This window comes from Homo sapiens, chromosome 1 (assembly GCF_000001405.40).
Source record: "Homo sapiens chromosome 1, GRCh38.p14 Primary Assembly".
Classification (NCBI taxonomy): Eukaryota; Metazoa; Chordata; class Mammalia; order Primates; family Hominidae; genus Homo; species Homo sapiens.
The window spans coordinates 242,438,016-242,459,062 of NC_000001.11; the positions used below are offsets into that span (position 1 = coordinate 242,438,016).

At 40.9% G+C, this 21,047-nt stretch overlaps 1 protein-coding gene across 6 annotated transcripts in view, besides 1 other annotated feature; it reads right to left on the reverse strand.

Moving 5' to 3' along the window:
* PLD5 (phospholipase D family member 5) overlaps positions 1–21,047 on the reverse strand; it is a 447,561-nt gene that overhangs the window by 355,030 nt on the left and 71,484 nt on the right. For 2 of the 6 annotated variants that reach the window (NM_001195811.2, NM_001195812.2), the window contains exon 1: positions 11,339–11,453. The exons of the other annotated variants lie outside the window; for them this stretch is intronic. In NM_001195811.2, coding sequence (NP_001182740.1) covers positions 11,339–11,341 — 3 coding nt within the window. In that variant the 5' untranslated portion in view covers positions 11,342–11,453. Of the gene's footprint in view, positions 1–11,338; positions 11,454–21,047 lie in introns of those variants that run through there. 6 annotated transcript variants of the gene reach the window in all.
* Positions 10,467–11,666: an enhancer, noted in NCBI's record as "BRD4-independent group 4 enhancer chr1:242611784-242612983 (GRCh37/hg19 assembly coordinates)". NCBI's record gives its function as "activates an origin of replication core promoter dependent on BRD2, P300/CBP, MED14 and CDK7 cofactors, and independent of BRD4, by STARR-seq in HCT116 cells {active_cell/tissue: HCT116}" and the evidence as "EXISTENCE:reporter gene assay evidence [ECO:0000049][PMID:35650434]".

Genomic DNA, 21,047 nt, shown 5'->3' on the forward strand with positions numbered 1-21,047 from the left:
CATTTTTTACCTTTATGGGAGTCTAAGTTATCATTTATTCCATTGGTTGCAAAATAGTGAAGAGGGTTGCAAGAGTTTTGGGGCATTCGTAGATATCCTTGATTATGGTGCCTGATACTAACAAGTAACTTTTTAAAAGTCCCTAAACTCTCCTCTGGATGCACAAGGTATATGAGGTCCACTGGGGGTAATCTGTAGTCAGGGATGGCGTGACAGCATGTATGGTTGCTTGCACATTAGAAAAAAAAATTTTTTTTTTTTTTTTTGAGATGGAGTCTCTCTCTGTTGCCCTGGCTGGAGTGCAGCGGTGCAATCTTGGCTCACTGCAACCTCTGCCTCCCGGGTTCAAGCAATTCTCCTGCCTCAGTCTCCCAAATAGCTGGGACTACAGGCCTGAGCTGCCATGCCTGGCTAATTTTTTTTCTTTTTTTTTTTTTTTTTTTTTTGAGATGGAGTTTCACTCTTGTCACCCAGGTTGGAGTGTAATGGTGCAATCTTGGCTCACTGCAACCTCTGCCTCCTGGGTTCAAGCGACTCTCCTACCTCAGCCTCCTGAGTACTCAGATTACCGGCACGCATCACCACGCCCAGCTAATTTTTGTATTTTTAGTAGAGACGGGGGTTTCTCCATGTTGGCCAGGTTGGTCTCGAACTCCTGACCTCGTCCCTCCCAAAGTGTTGGGATTACAGGCGTGAGCCACCGCACCCGGCCTTTTGGAATTTTTAACCATTTGCAGAAGTAGTATTTTGGAACAGGTTTAGAAGGGGAGTCAGGGTGCTGTCCTAGGTTTCTGCAATTTTCCTGTATCCTCCTTTAATTGATAATTAGTTTCCTACTTTCAGAGTTTAACCAACAATCCCTGTTTAGGAGTCAAAACCTATGCTTTATTCAAAGCCTAGTTCACAGCCAGCTGCCCCTTCCCCAGCTTGTTACTCTTATCACCCTGTTAATTCCTTTCATTGCACTTATCTCAATATGTATATTTCTGTTTTCTTTACATGCTTATTGTTTAGTTCCCTCATGTTTGTTTACATGTTTATTTTTAGTTCCTGGATTGCCACTGTATCCCCACCACCTGGCATAGCGCTTAAGAGCTACCAGGGACTTGACAAAATTAAGGTACCTCACTCACTGCTTAACAAATAGATCAAAATGTAGAATGGCTCAAAGACAAGCAAAGTTTGTTTCTTGTTCACGTAGAGTCCAAGTCAATTGCATGTGGGGAAGGAGCCGGGGAAGGGGGCTTTGTTCAACAAGGTCATTCGGAGACCGAGGCTGATGGTTATCTTTGCCATCTTCAACTCATGGCTTCCAAGTAACCTTGGCCATTCAGGGTTTCCCATTCATCCAGCAGAATGGGAAAAAGGCATGGAGGCACGTTCATAGGAAGTTTTTATGGGTAGGCCTGGAAGGAGCCCACATCACTTCTGCCTACATGTAGTTGGCCTGATCTCAGGCACTAGCGGGAAAATGAAGATTAGCCATGTGTCCAGGAAAAAGAGAAGGGCATAGAATCTGGTGAGCAGCTAGCGGTCCATAAATATCTACTGGAGAATAAATGTGAGGGAAGCCAGAGAGGAAGAAAGAAAGGGGTTTACCATCAAGTTGAGAGATGATGACTTTCTGCAGAAATGGCTGCTCTATCTGGCCATCCAATTTTCCGTGAAGCACACTACGGACTGCAGGTATAAACGAATGCATTTGTCTCATCTTCCTCTGGATTGAAAACTCCATGAACTCAGGAGCTTTTTGTTAAACTCCAGTTTCCCAGAATAAGGGTCACACCTGCAATAAGTGCTAAATAAATGTGTGAGAAGGAAACGAAACAAAACAAAACTCTCCTGATCCACAAGTATTAAGAGAAAGAGAAACAGGGACAGTATAAGCCACAAGCAGTGGAAAGTTCTCCACTGGCCAAGGTTCAGTTTGGGAAACTCCAAATTACAGTTAGGTACTAAATACCTCCTGGGTGCTGAGCCCAGTGTTGGGTGTTCTTGTATATATTTCAATCCTTTAAATATCACCATACATAATAATTGGAAACACTTAACACATAGAATAGGGGATAAATGGAGCTCCTGTCCTAAGATATTGGCAGGCAGAAGGAGTTACAGGATATAGCTTAATCTGAGATAAACTAGACAATTACTTGAAACAATCCTTAATAAAAGGAATTTTAGTTTTTTTCAGATAGATATTTCTATTCATCCATTTTTAGGCAGTAGCATGATTTCGAGTCACCCCGGTGGAAGGGAATAAGGTTTGGTTTCGCCAAGCATGTAGGAGCTTGAAAGTTGGTTGCTGGTCACAGGAATTAATTGGGACCAGCCGACAATGTTGTTCTGAGTTGTGGGGTTGGAATGACCCCTTAGAATGCTGGGTGGTGCAGGCTACACCCCACCTAAGTGTAGTTCCTAAATCATCAGTGCTTGATGCAGAATAATTAAAGACTGAGCATGATTCACATGAGTCTGACTGTATTGAAAACTGATCGGGTATAGATTATAATCCATTTATCAACATCTAATGCAGTTAACCAATTATGAGGGCCAAGCGGACCATATGAAGAGCAAAATTGTATAGAGTGTCCTTGCCCTGCAAAGGGCCCAGCCCCAGAATCACAGAGATTTTAGCTAAAAGGGATCTGAGATACAAGACACCTGCTACCTTGAGAGACTCATCCACAGACTTCTCTTCCTCCTCTTCCAGCCTTCTTAACTCACAGACTAAACACAATCCACATGCTGAGCACAGAACACTATGTTTTTTCTGAAACCACTCATTGCTCCCTCTCCCTCACTCCGCCTCCTCCTACTGCTCTGTCCATTACTTTCCTTCACACTTCTAAAATCAGGTCATTCACCCCCTTGACACTGTATGGATGAAATACAAAGAGAACTGGATTGGGTGATTGCTTAAATTTGCATGTACAAAGATGCCCATTCAGCATTATTATAAATAGTAATTTGGAAGGAAAATTGGAAAAGCATCCATGTCCATTATAATGATGAGTTACATTTATGTGAGTTGTATTTATTGGTATGGAACAATAGCTATAATAAATTAAGTTGAAAAAATCAGGACTAGGCAGAATGTATAATATTCACTGTTTGTTTCAACAAATATGTAATGTGCCATGCATGGTGCTAGCCATCAAGAGTATAATAGGATGCTAGTATAAATGATAACATAATTTAAAATAGTAGTAAGTGCTATGAAGCAAAATGCAGGATACTATGAGTATATAATTGATGAAAGATTTAACCTACTGCCATTAGTAAAAATGCTGTGTATGGTATGTTTTTAGTAGGTGTGTGTGGTGTTGTGTGTGTGTATGAAAAAGGCTAGATTATAAATATCTCTATATAAAACCAACAGTTATTAGCCCTAAATTATTTCACTTTTCTTTTCACCATGTTATGAATCTTCCGAAATTACCATGTGTTTCTTTAGTAGTCATAAAAAAACTTTAAAAAAAAATTAATTTGGCTTACTAAGCTTATCTTAGTTTCCTCAGTTATAAGTCAGATTTAGAGTTATCAGCCCTTTTTCATCTTCCCTTAAGATGAAATAAGAATTTATATTTCCTGACTTTAGAGTGCATAAGGATATATATTACTTTTGCACATTTTAAAGTAACAGTAATAGAAAGCTTTGGGGAAAAGGAGTCAGACAGACACCCCTCTTCCCGAGGAACACAGTGGGCCATCCTAGGCAGGGGAGCCACCGAGCCCACCTTCTGCGAGAGCCCAAGAGGTCTCACCATTGTACTTGGCAACTCTTCAAAATGGATCCTCTGCCAAAGTTGAAGCATCAGTTATATCTCAATGTGGAAGACCCAGAAAGGCTATTACGTTATTTCTGATTAAACTTATTCCTTACAAAGATAAACAGAAAGTTAACTGACATATTTTTAATCTTTGCTATTGATAATTTATCTCTGCTATTTGCAGCTGTTTCCAGTACATTGAGTAGCTCAGCTGTAAGCTTCTGTATAAAGCAAAGAGTGAAGCATTCTCTCTGCCACCTCTCGCTGACAACTTAAGAGCACCTCTCATGGGAGCACAGAACTCTTCCCCACAAAGGGCACAAAGTGTCTAGGGCATGGACTCGGTTGCCCAGTGATTTAAAAAATACCTTGGCCGATGCCCATCATGAGACATTCCAAAGGCATGTCCAAAGACATTCTAAAGTACCAGAGTTCCTTAAAAAATGCTTATATGTTTTTTTGTAAACTTCACATACTCATTGTCATGAAAAACTCTATTTAAATAAGAATAAAAACAACTGAGAAGTTCTAAAACATCTCTCAAATTCCGCCACTGCTAGTAGTGTGGTGAGCATGTGCCTCAAGATTTCCATCTACGTGCAGCATCCAGGTATTACGTCCACTTTATCCATGGCGGCACTGTTACATAAATGGGATTATTCGCTTCTTTTTTAAAACAAAAAATAAAGAAGGGTATTTAAAGCTTAAAAATAAGCAGATCTTGATTAGGAATTCTAAATCAGGATCATGAGACGCCACATGATGGCTTGGGGAACCAGTGATGTTTTATTCTTTGAGCGGGGTGCTAATTACAAGATTGTGTTCATTTTGCAAAAATGTGAGCTGTACATCTATGATTTGTGCACTTTTTCAGTTTTTATGTTATCTTAAAGTTTTTTAACTTAAAAACCCGATTAAGTAAATCGACACTCCATACAAAGAAGAGACGCAGGGAAAGGAAACACTTATAATCCTAAACTAGTAAAGTCAATTTGTATGCAGTATTTAATTTTCAGTATCTTAAGAAATTAATCCGTTATTTGTTCATGCACTTTCACACAAATTTGAGAGGCAGTTCTTCTAAGTCCTAGATTGGATAAACGGGTATTCCTTATCCATCAGTGATTTTAAACTTAAGTCGTAAACACAGTTCTGCAAGGAATCTCCATGCCGAATCAACAAAAACTGGGGAAGTCCTAGGTGTAGCAACATTGCAATATAGCCTGCCCTTGCTATGACAGAACATGTAAGCTAACAAGCTATACATTCTATGAACTTATTAAATCAGCCAAAGTGTCCATCAGAAATATTAAATCCTATGGACAAGGCTGAAGTTAGTTAAAAAGTGAGATTTAAGTATATACAGATGTGATTCCCCCCTTTTCCCTATCAGGTATTTTATCTATCTCTTAAGACACTTTTATATATTAAATATATTTTATATTTTGTTTTTACTATTGAAAACAAAATAAGCACAGTGGTAAAATAAAAGAGGAAATTAATCAAGCACTTTTGCAACACAAGCTATAAATCCAAACATGGCAAATTTCAGAATGCAAACAACAAATTTCTCCAAATAGATATGCTCTCCTTATATCTATGTGTAATACAGGGAGGGCCACATCAAGGAAGGTGAACTGGTTGGTGGGTCTTAGGGAGTCTGGGCACTTCATAGAGCCAGTAAGCAGATGCCCAGAGCTGAGTCCTTAGGTGTCCAGGATGTGAACTGGGAAGATTATCCACCTACTCCTTGGATGGCTAAATCCAAGGAGTAAGATGGGAAGTTAGAGATGAAGTACAAAGGCAAAAAGTAATGAATGAGGAGTGTTGAAACAAGTAAATGGAAAGGAAGGAAGAGTGAACGTAAACTGTATCATAGCTTAACCTGAAGCACCTAAGAAAGTTTTGCTATTATTCTTGAGTCCACATTTATAGGAGGGCATTTAAAGTTGCAGTCAAGGCTATCAACATGAACCACACCACTTCTTTTGTAATCCTATGAGCATCTCTCCAGAGACTTCCTCCATCTCAAACCTATTTAATTTCTAGGCAATGCAGCTAATTAGCTTATTTATCCTAGGACTTCCATTTATTGCATTGATTTTACCATCAACATCAGACTTAATAGGCCACCACATCAATGGTATTTTCTCTAGCATCCCATGTATGGTGGCTTCTGTGTCTTCTCACCTAATGGGACCTGTGCAGCATCCATCATGAATCATCAGTATCCAGGAGGCTCAACAATAGGATAAAAATTTGAACAGAACTCATATTTGCTTATTTTAAGCTTTGCACTTCCTGTAGCCCATCAAGAGTAATTCCTTCCTATAAGACCACAGCAAAATGAATGAGATTACTCATCTTCATTATATTGTTGGTATGTGTAATTCATAATTTCTAATGCTCTTGACACCATCTTCAAGGAGAAACTCAAAGCCAACCAACACATTCAATTTCCCAAAAACTTGTCACCACAATACTTCTTTTTCCAATAAATAGCATCTTAGATCCACCCTATTAATAAAATCACTCATACCTTTATTCTATGTGCTTTAGTTTTCAAGTACCGGAGAAGAGGGAGGTATTTTGTATGCACTCATTCTCCTCCACATATTTCTATTCATTTGATCAATGTGGTTACAGGTTATCAATGATCAAGAAAATGGCACTGTAGCCATTAGTAATTTCTAACTATATCTAATTTGTCCTCACTCATTACCTTCAAGCTTCTGAAACCTGTGGACATAGGAATATAGGTGCATGTAACCTCCTCTGATCCTCTAGATCCATCTTCTCCTCAGGAACATAATCAAAAGCCTACTTTATACAAATAATATATATATTATATATTTATATAAAATATAAATATTTAATTATACTATACATAATATAAATATTTATATTATATAAATATTATATTATATAATAAAATAATATATATATTATTTGTATAAAGTAGGCTATATATATAATATATATTTCTCCTAGGACACACCACATTGTCACTCACTTCTAAACACCTCATTGGACTTTGGGAACAGGCCATAGGACTCATCTCATACAGTTATTGACATGTGATATATATTAAAGAGATGAGACCTATAGCCTGTTACTCAAAGTCCAATAGATAACATAAGTCACATATAGCTATGTGTTATATGCTCTACTATATAGACCCTCAGCTTTTCTCTTAAGTTATGCCTTTATTCATTCAACACCATATAAAACCTACTATGTGAAAGGCACTGCTGTGGTGTGAATATTTGTTTCTCCCACCTCCCAAACTCATTTGTTGAACCCTAATCCCCAGTGTGATAGTATTAGAAGGTAGGGCATGTGGAAGGTGATGAGGTCTTGAAGGCTCCGCCATCACTAATCAGATTAGTGCCCTTATAAAAGAGACACCAGAGAGCTATCGAGCTCATTCTACTGTGTGAACACACAGCGAGAAGGCATCATCTATTAAGCAGAGAGTTGGCCCTCACCAGACACCAAATCTGCTAAAACCCTGATCTTGGATTTCCCAGTCTCTATAAGGAATTAATTTCTGTTGTTTGTTTGTTTGCTTTTTGAGACAGAGTCTTGCTCTGTCCTCCAGGCTGGAGTGCAGTGGTACAATCTCAGTTCACTGCAACCTCTGCCTCCTGGGTTCAAGTGATTCTCCTGCCTCAGCCTCCCGAGTAGCTGTGATTACAGGTGCCCACCACCACACTGAGCTAATTTTTGTATTTTTATTAGAGACGGGGTTTCACCATGTTGGCCAGGCTGGTCTCAAACTCCTGACCTCAGGCCATCCACCCGCCTCGGCCTCCCAAAGTGCTGAGATTACAGGCATGAGCCACCGCGCCTGGCAAATTTCTGTTGCTTTTCTGTTATCCAGTCTGATGTATTTTGTTAGAGCAGCCTGAACAGACTAAGACAGGTGGCATGCCAGGTAATGTAAGAATTACAGTGAGGGGGTTTTATTCACTTCTTTTTTTTTTTTTTTTCAAGCTGCTTGCTTCAAATGCCAGGGTCATTTGCTTTACTCTTCCACATTTCACCTCCAATCAGTGGCCAGGGCAGGTGGATTTTCTTTCACATCATCTCCTGCTTTATTTTCCATTTTCTCTCTACCATTCTAATTTAAATCCATATCATCTTTTACCTAGATAATTTTTAAAGCTTCCTTCTAATTTTTCTCCTTGTCATGGTCTCCTAATTAAACATTCTATTTTACACAAATATATTAATGTAATCTTCACGATGACCCAATGGAGGTAACAATCATTATTCCCATTTTCCAGAGAAGAAAGCTAAGAATTAAAAAGGTTTTAAAATTACTGTCCAAAATCACACAATGAGTGTAACATAGAAATTTAACTCCCTCCCTGACTTCACCACTATGCAATCTATGCATATAACAAAATTATACTTATACCTCATACATTTATACCAATACAAATTAATAAAATAATAAAAATAAAATAAAATAATAATAAAATTAAGAAAAATAAAGAACCTGGATGTGGTGACTCATGCCTGTAATCCCAGCACTTTGGGAGGCTGAGACAGGCAGATCACTTGAGGCCAGGAGTTCGAGGCCAATCTGACCAACATGGTAAAACCCTGTCTCTACTGAAAAATACAAAAATCAGCTGGGTGTGGTGGTGCATGCCTGCAGTCCCGGCTACTCAGGAGGCTGAGACATGAGAATCACTTGAACCTTAGACGTGGAGGTTGCAGTGAGCTGAGATCGCGCCACTGCACTTCAGCCTGGGTGGCCTGAGTGACGGAATGAGATTCTATCTAAAAAGAAAAAAGAAATTTAACTCCCTGTCTGAGCAACTTTATATCCTCTTTCCACACATTGGACCGTCTCCCAGTTAGACACAGCTGTTTAAGGGAAATTGGTCAGAGTAGGAACATAAGGTGTTCGTGAGCAAATGACAAAGCAACTAAAACAGGTGACATCGGGAAGGAAGAACAGGAAAAGAGAAATGTCAAAGGTGAGTTGAAATTTCGAGGCTGGGGCACTGAAAGTTTCTGTAACTTGTTGTCAGGCACCCATCTAGCGCCTGCTCTCTTCCTCTCTACTTTGAAAGGCTATATGAGGAGGTGGTTTCAGGAATGAGGGCCCTAGAGCCAGTAGCCATTTATTCCCACCCTGGCATTACCCCTCACTAGCTGTGTGCCCTTCAGAAAGCACAGAACTCTGTGTGCCTTTCCTCAATGCAACAGGGGTAGTCATTTTAAAATATGTATTTAAAAGCAAGAATGGGGATTACTAAAGGGTTTAAAACACTCAGCACATAGCACATTATGTCCTCGCTATTTGTAAAATATTGAGAACTTCTACACATTTTCCTCACTTTGAAATAACTTAAAAGTCGTCTGCAATTTGTAATATGAACTTAATTATTTGCATTTCCTTTAAATTTGTAAATAAAATTTAAAAAGTAATCAGAGGCCAGAGCCCAAGCTGGGCTGGCTTATTTGGTATAACATCTAGCAAGTTCTGACACGCTCCTGACTCTAATGAGGTCAAGGAGAGTGTTTTAAACAGTGAGTGTCTTTGATCCTGGGTAAGAAAACTGATCACATTTGCAATGATGAGAAACATGATTGGTTTCCTTTTCATCATGGAAAGGATTTAATGAAAATCCAATCTATAGATTCACTCCTCTTCCGGTCAGTGGTCTCTTACTCACTAAAATGAAAGGTGAAATATGGTTGCCTAGGCAAAAGCTAGGTGGTCCCTGTTAAATTATTGCCATTTTAGTGTCTGTCATTAAGAAGAGCTCACTTAGAACAAAGCTTTTATTTTAATGTAAAACTGGGTACTTTTTCCCCAACCTTTTAAACAGTACTTAATGAAAATAACCAGAGGATGGCCTGAATGTAAACAGCTTGCAGTCACTCTTAGTTCCCATCGCACCCTTCCACAACTCCAAAGGAAAGTTCACTCTCTTCGGAGGTCTGTACACTTTCATCAGATTGTACTTCAATGATCTCAGCCCCTGACCTGCTCCTCATTTCTCCCTGAATACTGTAAGAGAATATCACTATGCGTATGTTTATGCCCATGCTCAAAGTATGCTGGCGCGAGAGGGACTCTGCATTTCAGCCCGGTCCTTTATAATCCTTAAAGGAATGTTCTCAGGCTAATGAAGGGAAGAAAGGAATGATTCTGCCTCAAGCATTCAGGCAAAACATTCCGAAGCACTCAGAGTCCCATTTAATCCTCATGCTAGATATGTGCATTATTTATTTATTTATTTATTTATTTTTACCCATCCTGACTAAGGAGAAACAGTTTATTTTGACTTCTCAACAGTTAAGAACTGCTCAAATGGATGAGATGATAAAAGGTACCAGGTGTCACCTAAAGAGGGAAAAATCTGACCTTTGTCTTGGCAGTGATTTCTCTGGTCTGTGTCCCTATGAATGAATGATCTAGGGATGGTGCATGAAGGCAGGGAATGAGATGAATGATTCTCATAGATCTGGTTTCCAATTTCCCTCTTTCTGAGTTGCTGGAAAGGCAAACTCACTTCTAAAAATTCCCAACCCTCCCTTCATCACCAGTCTCTTCATTCATCTGGATTATAAACAGAAAAATCATTTCCCACACATCAGCTGTGCAGTCAAATAAGTATATTTCAGGCATTCTCTCTCAACAGTAATAGGCTTTATCTTCTTCTCAATGATATGTAATCCTATTTATTATCAATGTCCTTTGTCCATTAATCCTTTCGAGAAAATGTTTAGTGGCCCCATTGTTGCAAGCCAGTTCTTCCCCCCATCTCCCGTGTTTTCCTCCTTGTATCATGGGTGATTGGGAGGAGACACTTGGAAAAGACATCCAGAGAGCAGAGGCCAAGAGATAAACATGTTGTAACTTCCACAGTGAATTCTAAAACCTCATCTAAAGACCTCACGTTTACGTTAAGGATCACCTCATCCTGGCAATGTTTGCTTTACTGGATTGAATCAAACTTCCTCCAAAGTCAGATCGTTCTTTCTTTGAAAACTTGGGCTCCTGTTGTTACTGCCTATGATAGTTTCAAAAGAAAAAAAAAATCACGTGGAAGTTTGCTCTAGTAATGCTTAATGCCTCCAGTAAACAGTGAAGCTCACAGAACGGTGACAATTCAAAGCAAGCTGCTTAAGGATGAATGGATTTTTACCGCCACACAAACATATCGAGAAAACAGACAACTATTTCTTTGAAGAATCTCATGGAAATTACAGTTACTTTCAGAGGAAAGAGCACACTTCAGAGAATGCATTAATCGGGGTTTACATCTGAGGTCACCGTAGGACTGTCCTTCCCTGGCAGAGCCCAGCGAAGTCCTTATAAATTACAAAGCACCATTACCTCTGACATGAAAGGAATCATTTTTCAAAAAATCAGTGCTCTGGTGAAAAGAGTGTTCCTGCCCTTCTCATAAAAAAAGGACAGTGCCTCAGAGCTCAAGTGACTGTTCAGTCTCATGCTACCAACAGCCATTTTCACCAGCAGAGGCTAAGAATTCTTTCCCAGGTAACACACTAGGTCTGTAGAAAACTCCAGAGTTTCTTACCATTGCGACCAATCTTCCTTCCCTCCCTGCGGAGTCCAGCAGCCAGGAGCTGTCGCTGATGTGCTGCTTCCCACAGCCTCTGGAGCCTTCAGAGGCAGAGAATGTTTCATGTGGCACAAACGTATCACCACCGATTACATTTCAGTCCCTCAATTGCTGGCCTCAATGCTTTGGAAATCAGCCAAACTGAGCACGAAGAGAGAAAGGGCTGCAGCTTGCAATTTCAGAATTTCCCCTAGAATGTGCTCTTAAAAACATAGGCCCCTCATTTAGCATTTAAGCAAGCACTGGGGACTGCTATGTTTAATTATGTTTCTCCCTCTTTTCCTTTTAATCTGAGAGGAGTTGTGTTCCTTGTGGAATGAAATGATAGCAAGATCTCAAGCTGACCCAGGGGAGGCAGGCACCGTGCTGGTGTCCACACACCTCCAACCTGAGCAGAAACGGCTGCAATTCCAATCAGAGTAAAGGAGAATCCTGCCTAGACAAAGACGAGCGAAGAGGGGCAATGCTGACGAGCACTCCATGGTTACAGCAGCTCGGTCATCGGTGGGTGTTTGCTAAGTCCAGACTAAATCCTGTGGCGTAGCGCTGTCAAATCTGAACAGGTGGAAAGAAAAGTTCTTTACTCATCAAGGCAGTGTAAGGTGCACAGCTTTAGCTTGAAGAGTATAATCAAAGTTCTTCAAATGCAGGGACCATGGCTTCTCAGATGCTTTAAATCTAGCCTGTGCTGCTCACTTATATGAAACCACGGGGCTCTTTGCTTTTCCTGCACTTTGGCCACGTTTTATCGTTTAAAAATTTATCTCAGAAGAATTCAATCACACAGCTGGCACACAGCAGCAGCTGAACCTCATCCAAAGCTCAGACAGGACTCTTTAGAATAATAGTACACATAAGCAAAAACATCTGTTGATTGCCAAATTGTTTACTTGCCTTTCCTTCGCCACCTGTAAATTGCAGGAGGGCAGGTGCCATGCTTCTTTTGTTCAAATCTGCATCCTCCAGGCAGCATCTATTCCACTCTAGAATATTTACTAGCTGAGTTAATACATTGATTTCCCATTACTGTTGGAAATGTTGGCAAAGTCCCACAAATTGGTAGAATTCCTTTTGCTTGGAGCCTGATTTGTTCCAGGCTTGGGTTGGGTTCCTTTTTTTACTGCTTTTCCTCTCATCAAAAAGGAAAAATTCACATCTTCTTGTATGGTTAGGCCTAGAAAGGGCTGGAATAACCTCCAGCAAAGCTAAATACTTGTTCTAGAGCAAATTCATCCCCAGGAATATAATTTGTGCTGATGGCCTAGGGTTCTGATTTCTTAGAAGAGTCCATGGCATTTATCAGGCTCGATGGCATCAAGGAGTAGCTGTGAATCAACAGAGTCCCAGAAAAACACACACATTTTCACACCCTCTGGAAAAAGTCTTTTAGGATAGAGAAGCCAATATGGCAGGCAAATTAGGTGCCCACATGAGAGACATCTGGCCAAGATGTAGCTCAATGCTTGCATTGAGTAGGTTCTAGACACCCCTTTAAGGGGTTACATGAATTCAGTAAGTGAATACTCTGAAACTCTGGAGTGTTTAACACCTGTCCCCAAGCTGGAATAAGCCAACATTGCCTAACGTGGATTCTCAGTTCATCATCCCATCCTGAGGTCCTTTCTCTAGAAACACTCAGCCACATCGTTTTGACTCTACCTTGGGCCATGCCCACTTATCCTTCTCCTCTCATGGGAAGAGGCGGCAACATCTACTGCAGTGTGACCAGGAAAAAAAGCATTGTCTGCTTTTTTCCATTAGCCTTATATCTGTGCACAAGAAATCCCCTACCGCAGCATCAATGAAGCGTCTCCCTTTCTTCTACCTGTTCTGCAAGGTGCAGCGTTATTCTTTCCTCCTTCAGAAAGAGTTCCCTGACATCCTCAACTTACAGCAATTTATCTTCTCTATGACTGTCACTCAACACTGTCCTAAGCATTTAACATTGAATCATACATTGTCTTCAGACACTTCTTGGATGCCACTGGTTATTTTATTGTTTATTTTTAGGTATCTTACCATCTAGCCAGATTGTAAACATGTTATTCCTGTATCAAATTCTTTTTTTTTTTTTTTTTTTGAGAGGAGTGTTGCTTTGTTGCCCAGGCTGGAGTGCAATGACACGATCATGGCTCAGTGCAACTTCCGCCACCCAGGGTCGAGTGATTCTCCTGTCTCAGCCTCCCAAGCAGCTGGGATTACAGGTGCACGCTGCCATGCCTGGCTAATTTTTTGTATTTTCGTAGAGACAGGGCTTCACCGTGTTGCCCAGGCTGGTCTCGAACTCCTGAGCTCAGGTGATCCACCTGCCTCAGCCTCCCATCGTGCTAGGATTACAGGCTTGAGCCACCGCGCCCAGTCTAAAATTCTTGAATGGCAACCTACTGGCTGTAAGGTAAAACCGAGACTACTCTCCATGGTATTTAAGGTCCTTCATGAAAGACCTCCTTAAAGTTTCCTCTCCCACCATGCTCCTGCTAGTACCTTATACTTCAGTCACAAAGAACTCCTTGCAGTATCCTCAAGTCACCGTGCTCACCAATACCTCCAGGCCTTTGCACACAAGACACTCCATTCCAGGGATGGTTTTTATTGTTGTCCCCACGGGGGCTTCGGCTCAGTCCTCAATGTCTGCGCCATCTCCCTTGACCCTCCCAACAGGGCTGAATGGCAAGCTGAAGGCTAGAAGTACATTAATCACGGGGGCGCACCATCCTTATGTCTGTGTCAGGGCCCTGCACAAATCTAAGCAGATGTAGAATCAGTGCTTTTTCGGCAATGAAAAATGTTCATACAGTGTACTGGCATTTTGGACTTTTTTTTTTCAAATAAGTTAACCTAGTGGAAACAACAAGGGACTAGGAGGAAGGATTTCTGAATAATCATCTGCCTGTTGAGTCAACCAGGATTCTAGTGATATGAAAAATTGTTTGGCACTTTTATTATCAAAATTGTTACACTTTTCAGCTTGATCTTGTCAGAACACACTGAATTACAATCACCTCACTGATACCTGGCCTCACAAACCATCAGCAAGAAAGTTAGGAAGTTCTGGAGAGTGAGAAGCAGGAAAAAACTTGGACTTTTCTATAAAATAGTAGTTCGTATACCTTCATTAAAAAACGTGGACATCCAGGCTGGGCACGATGACTCACGCCTATAATCCTAGCACTTTAGGAAGCTGAGGCGGGTGGATCGCTTGAGCCCAGGAGTTCCAGACCAGCCTAGGCAACACGGTGAAACTCCATCTCTACAAAAAATAAAAAAATTAGCTTTGTGTAATGGCGTGTGTCTGCAGTCCCAGTTACTCAGGAGGCTGAGATGGGCAGATGGCTTGAGCCCAGGAGGCAGAGGTTGCACTGAGCTGAGATTGCGCCACTGCACACCAGCCTGGGTGGCCGAACCAGACCCTGCCCCCCACCCCTGATGTGGACATCCGGAAAGCCAGTCCTTTCCTCTGCACCCCCTAGGTCCTATCTTCCCACACACCCCTAACAACTAAAAATCCAGGTACAACAGTGAAAAGTCTGAGACCAAGCAGGTAAAATGCTCAGCGGAAGGCTATTCCCACTCTTCTGAACATGGAAAGGTGAAAGGAAAAAGACAAAGGAAAAAGAAATCCCTTTACAAATTTCACGATTGTCAGAATGTTTGTGGCCCCCTCCACATTCGTATGTTGAAACCTAATCCCCAGCTCGATGGTGTTAGGAGGTGGTGTTTTTAGAAGGTGACAAGATCAAGAGAGAGGAGCCCTCATGAACGGGATTAGTACTTTTATCAAACATGACTAAGGGAGATTGCTTGCCCTTCCCCCAGGTGAGGACACAGGGAGAAGGCACCATCTAGGAACCAGGAAGCAGGTCCTCCAGGCATCAAATCTGCCAGTGACTTGATCTGGGACTTTCCAGCCTCCAGAATCGGGAGAAATAAGTTTCTTTGTTTGTAAGCTACCTAGTTTATGGTCATTTTGTTATAGCAGCCTAAATAGGCTAAGACAAAATGCATATAAGTAATACCTATTTCATTTAGTGTTTTCTTATGAGCAAATGCATTTTATCTTTTTAATGAAATTTTTATTGTACCCTTAGAAGATCTTTGAAATGTTTTTGAGAAGCCCAACAAGACATCATTACCTCCCTACACAGTGTATTCATTATTTGCCTGTTCAAAATTTTCAAATGCTCATCCTGCATTCACGAAAAGTGTACCTGCCATTCCAAAAAGGTAGTCCCTAGAGATTGGAAGCTCCCTATGGCCACTGCGACACCCACTCCCTACTATCACAATGTAGGGCTCCCCTTTAGGATAGAATTTAGAGAAAATGCAGAGACATAGGCTCCTACTTATCCCATAGCTGCAGAATGACACCTGTCCACCCCTCTCTCATAAAAGAAACAAGAAAAGTGTTGTGAACTGCTTATCTTTCTTTGTCTCTCCCAACACCAGTTTTAACCCCTAGTCCTATCTTCCTGTACTACCTATGTATTTTTGCCTGGCCATTGGATATGTTTAGCCTCACCCACTCCTTCTCAGCCTCACAGTTGCAGCTAATTCAGGCAGCAGGGCTAGGAGAGCTCAACGTGCGCTGGTGATTAGAGACCCTTTAAAAGAGTCACATGGACAAGATGATACTTTCAAATTTAACTTCAGGCTGGCTGCGGTGGCTCATGCCTGTAATCTCAGCACTTTGGGAGGCCAAGGTGGGCAGATCACTTGAGGTCAGGAGTTTGAGACCAGCCTGGTCAGCATGGTGAGACCCCTGTCTCTACTAAAAGTACAAAAATATTCGCCAGGTGTGGTGGCGGTCACCTGTAATCCCAGCTACTCGAGAAGCTGAGGCAGGAGAATCGCTTGAACCTGGGAGGCAGAGGCTGCAGTGAGCCGAGATCATGCATTGCACTCTAGCCTGGGCAACACAGCAAGACTCCGTGTCAAAAAAAAAAAAAAGGCAAATTTAATCTCAAGCAAACCCACTCAGTCTAACAGTCATAAAGCATGTAGGGATGGCTTTCAGCTTCTAATACTGTTTCAAAGGTTTCTGTTTCAATAGACTTAAATTGATGTTGGCAGAGGAAAAAAAAAGAAAAAAATGAGGTCAAGGCACTGAGAAAAAGAAACCATCACTTTCTAAAACCACCCAAGATTGCTAAGCATTTGCATATATGAAAAGAGACACAGGGGAAAACATATTTCATCTGTAAAATGTTTACATTAATTTCTATTAAGGTATTATGAACTACGAAATCATAAAAGAGTTTCTAACGCTGAAAAGTGGCTGTAATAGAAAGGAAATTAAGGAGAGAGTGGTAAAATGTGAGTGCCCTTAAGTAGGGTAGCAGCCATTGTAGATCAGAGTGTGTTCCAGGGTCTAACATATCTAACAGAAAGCTTGAAGTTTGTTTCCCAGACAAGCCTGAATTACAGAGAGAGCTGACCGGATGCCCTGAATCTTTGCAGATCGTCACAGTTTACCCTTTCCGGTTCTATCCCTGGGACCATCTATTTCTTTTCTTCAGCTGTCAGGAATTATGTATGTGCCTGTTCTTCTTTTTTACCACAGGAGGGAGCCCCAGCACAATCAGGGTATAGTTCTCCAGCTTTTTCTCCAAGTGGAGAAATGACTTTTTAATCACCTGTTAAAAATACGGGCGTAAATGCCTCCCAGCAGAAACGAATGTGATCAATCAGTTGTTCAAAATAAGCTTCAGAAGCTGCCCTCCAACTCAAACTGCTCAAGTTTTTCACATACATCTATGTGTGCATGGAGTGTGACTGTTATGTTTATTCTCTTTTACCTATTTTAATGCCAGAATTTGCAAATCATTTGAAAGGCTTTATTTAGATGAAGATAATCCAGATGCAAATTCTAAGCATTAAGATACTTGATTTTTTAACTAATGACTTTCATCACATGGAGCTCACTGGATTGATTTATACCTGAATTAAAAGCAACCTGTAATTTATCTTCTACGCCCCAATTTTTTTGACATAAAGGACCGTCCCAAGTAAGAAGTCTTCTGAGGCAGGTTGCCAAAGAGATTTAGTGATGGTGAAACAAGCAGCTTAATGAAGTGAAATCTCCTTATTAACCTTTGACCAAAGTCACACCTGTACCCATTCCTTGTTTCAGGTCTTACACACCTTAAAGGCAGCAGCCAGGTTCAGTTCTAATTTGCCTCTGAAGAATTCAGTGCAAGCCTGTTTAGAAAAGTGATTATCCTTCAATTTGTAGGCAATGAAGTAGGCGCTTATATGGACTCCCAGAAGGCATCAATCAGACATAGCACTTGTCCCAGAAGGGAGCTTCATGCCCAAATCAATACAGGAGCTCACTTTATATGGCATTTCTACAAGGCTGTGTAAGGTGTCTTAAAGTCAAATGCAGCTACAGCCATGAGGGAGAAAAGAGATCTGATCAACAGAAGTGTCCCAAAGATGGTCCTTGAACCGCAGTTATGTAAAGTTCCACTCTGTCCAGGCAGGTGTGCTACACCAGTTGTGGTGCGGGATAGAGCCGGGGTGGGGACAGAAGGGCCAGCTCCCCCCATGCCACTGTGCCCCAGGGCAGAGACCTAGGAGTCCAGGAATTCTAAATTTGAACCTGTCCTTCCAGGACATTACAAAGAAATACTTCACAGGTAGAAGGATGGGAACATATTTTATTTAAGAGTGTGTCAGCTTGATTTATAAGCTTCATATATTTAGGTACATGGAATTTTCTCCTGACCCCAACCAAGGTTGGAGTGGATCTGTTCCCTCCCCTCCTTACTCCGCCTTGCAATCAAAAGCATGCATTAGTTTGGTTCCATTCAGTGACTCTGAGCTGGGTTTCTGAGGGGATGAGAATGGTAGAGACCTTCAGATAAGGCTTGCTAGCCACTGGCTACAGGTGACGATTTACAAAGTTTTAATTAATTCAGATTAAATAAAATTTAAGATCCAGTTCCTTAGTCACACTAGCCACATCTCGAATGCTCAAGAGTCCCATGTGGCTGGTGGCGACTGGACTGAAAGGCACACATTTAGAACATGCCCATCATTGCAGAACTTTCTACTGGACAGTGCTGCCCTAAAGAACTCTAAAAAGAAAATAAAATCTGTTTAGATTTAAAGTGACTGAAACACCTGCAGGCTGAGTGCGCAAGTCAGCAAGCAAGTTTGCATATTTAGAATTACTGTGTGAGCTGTCCATGATTGATATTAGGCATTATAAAAGGTATCATTTGTTTGGTGATGGTCTATATCAGAGACTGCAAACTGGCCACCTGAGGGATGAATATTGGCTTCTGCTGTGTTGTGAACAAAAGGTGGGGAGGACTTCATTAAAATCTAGTTTTCTGATTTCTTTTGAAACATCAGAAGATCTGGCCCCTGTGAGACTGCATTTCCACGCTGGAACACAGACCTGGAGTCCAGAAGCAGCTTTCTTTTCAGAAGGAGTGAGTGCTCTTCAGGTTACCAAAATCCCCGCCCGACACTGCGTCCGTAACACTATTTCCTAATTCCTTCCATATGCGCAGTTGAATGGGAAAACAAGAATGTCTCTAGCTTTGCAAAAAGGAAAATCTCTATGATAAAACATGACAAAAGCTGCCGAGAACACTCTCGCTTATTCTGTTTCTCTAAATAAATTCCATCATCCACTTATCCAGGGGGTCTCTGGGCTCCCTGTCAAACCGGAGAAGCCACGTCTCATGTTAAAAAACATATGTTTTCATGTTTTGTGGTGATGGGAATTCCTAGTGAACTCGAAACAGACAATGGTCCAGCCTATTGTAGTAAAGCTTTTAAAAATTTGCTTGATCAGTGGCATATTAAACATATTACTGGTATTCCTTAGAGCCCACAAGCCCAAGCTATTGTAGAAAGAAGTAAGAGAACTTCAAAATTACAATTACTTAAACAAAAAGAGGGGGATAAGGAGTTGTCTACCCCTCACATACAACTAAACTGGCATTGCTCACGTTAAATTTTCTTAATATTCCTAAATCTAGTTCTGTTACTGCTGCCGAAAAACATTTCTTTGGTAACCATCCTACAGTAAACCGAGGAAGAGAAGTATGGTGGAAAGATCTAATATATGGTCAAAAGTTTCTATTTTAACGTGGGGAAGAGGTTATGCTTGTGTTTCCCCAGGTGAACGTCAATCTCCTGTTTGGATTCCTGCTAGACACCTAAAATTGTGTCCTGAAAATGCATGCAACAACAAGACAGAGAAATTTGCTGAAAAAGCACCACAGCAAGAAACAACTAACACACCCAATCATCAAAAAGAAGAAAATGACCACGCTAACTCCTTTACAACAGACAATCCAGTCAGACATCCTGAACAACTTGTCTCCAGCGATCCAGGTCCGGCTCAACCTCTGCCTCCTCCTGGTTACACTGATCCTTCTACCCTCTGTCACTCCACAGACTGTTAAAAACTATACATATTGGGCCTATATTCCTTTTCCTCCTCTTATTCAAGCCATGACAGGGATGGACGCTCCTATCGAGGTCTATGTTAATGACAGTATTTGGATGCCTGGTTCTGTAGATGATCGTTGTCCTGACCAACCTTCAGAAGAAGGAACCCCTTTCAATATCACTTTAGGTTTTAGGTATCGACCTTTGTGCCTGGGACCCACTAATGGATGTCTCTCATTAGATATTCAAACTTGGGCTGTCACACTACTGTCTGGTCACTCTGTCCCTCCTTTAGGACACATGGTATCGGGGCTCTCATTAAAACCTCTGAGGCAAATCAAAACAGGAATCACTGATTATATTCACACATTCCAATATAAGCCTTTAGGACCTGCATGTCCTCTCAACTTGTCTTCAAATGCTGACAAATTAATATGGAAAGATTGTGTTAGCTCAGAAGGAACTGTGTTATTTAATTCTTCTCACTACACCATTGTTGATTTGGCTCCCAAAGGTCATATTACTAATGATTGCTCTCAAGGTCACAAAGATTGCCAACATTTTCTCTATAATATTACTTATCAAAAAAGTAGTGACAACCCTCCCCTATTATATTGTACATTTAACTCCTTTTTTCCTCTTAAGTGGAAAGGGGCAGGGGTTGCCCCTCCAAAGCCAAGGCTCATTGTTCCCCACTTAGGACCTGAACATTCAGAATTATGGAGATTAACAATAGCTATGACTGGTATGAGAGTTTGGGCTGGAGAAAGTGTTATAAGTAAATCCACCTTGTCACCTCAAAATATGTATACTATCTATATGGAGTCCAACAAAACTATACCACTTAAAAGTTGTGTTAAACCACCATATATGTTATTAGTAGGAAAGATGCATATTAGTTCAAAAACTAACATAATTACCTGTGTTAATTGTTACTTGTATACTTGTATTGACTCATCCTTTAATCAATATCATAGTATTTTAATAGTCAGAGCCAGAGACGGTATTTGGCTCCCCGTAGCCTTACACAGGCCTTGGGAATCTTTCCCTTCTATCCATGTTATTAACAATATTCTACAGAAAATTCTTAAAACGAGTAAATGATTTATTTTTACATTAATTGCAATAATAATGGGCTTCATTGCTATTACTGCGACTGCTGCTACTGCTGGAGTTGCATTACATCAGTCTATTCAAACTGTTCATTTTGTGGATAAATGGCAAAAAAATTCTACTCGGATGTGGAATTCTCAGT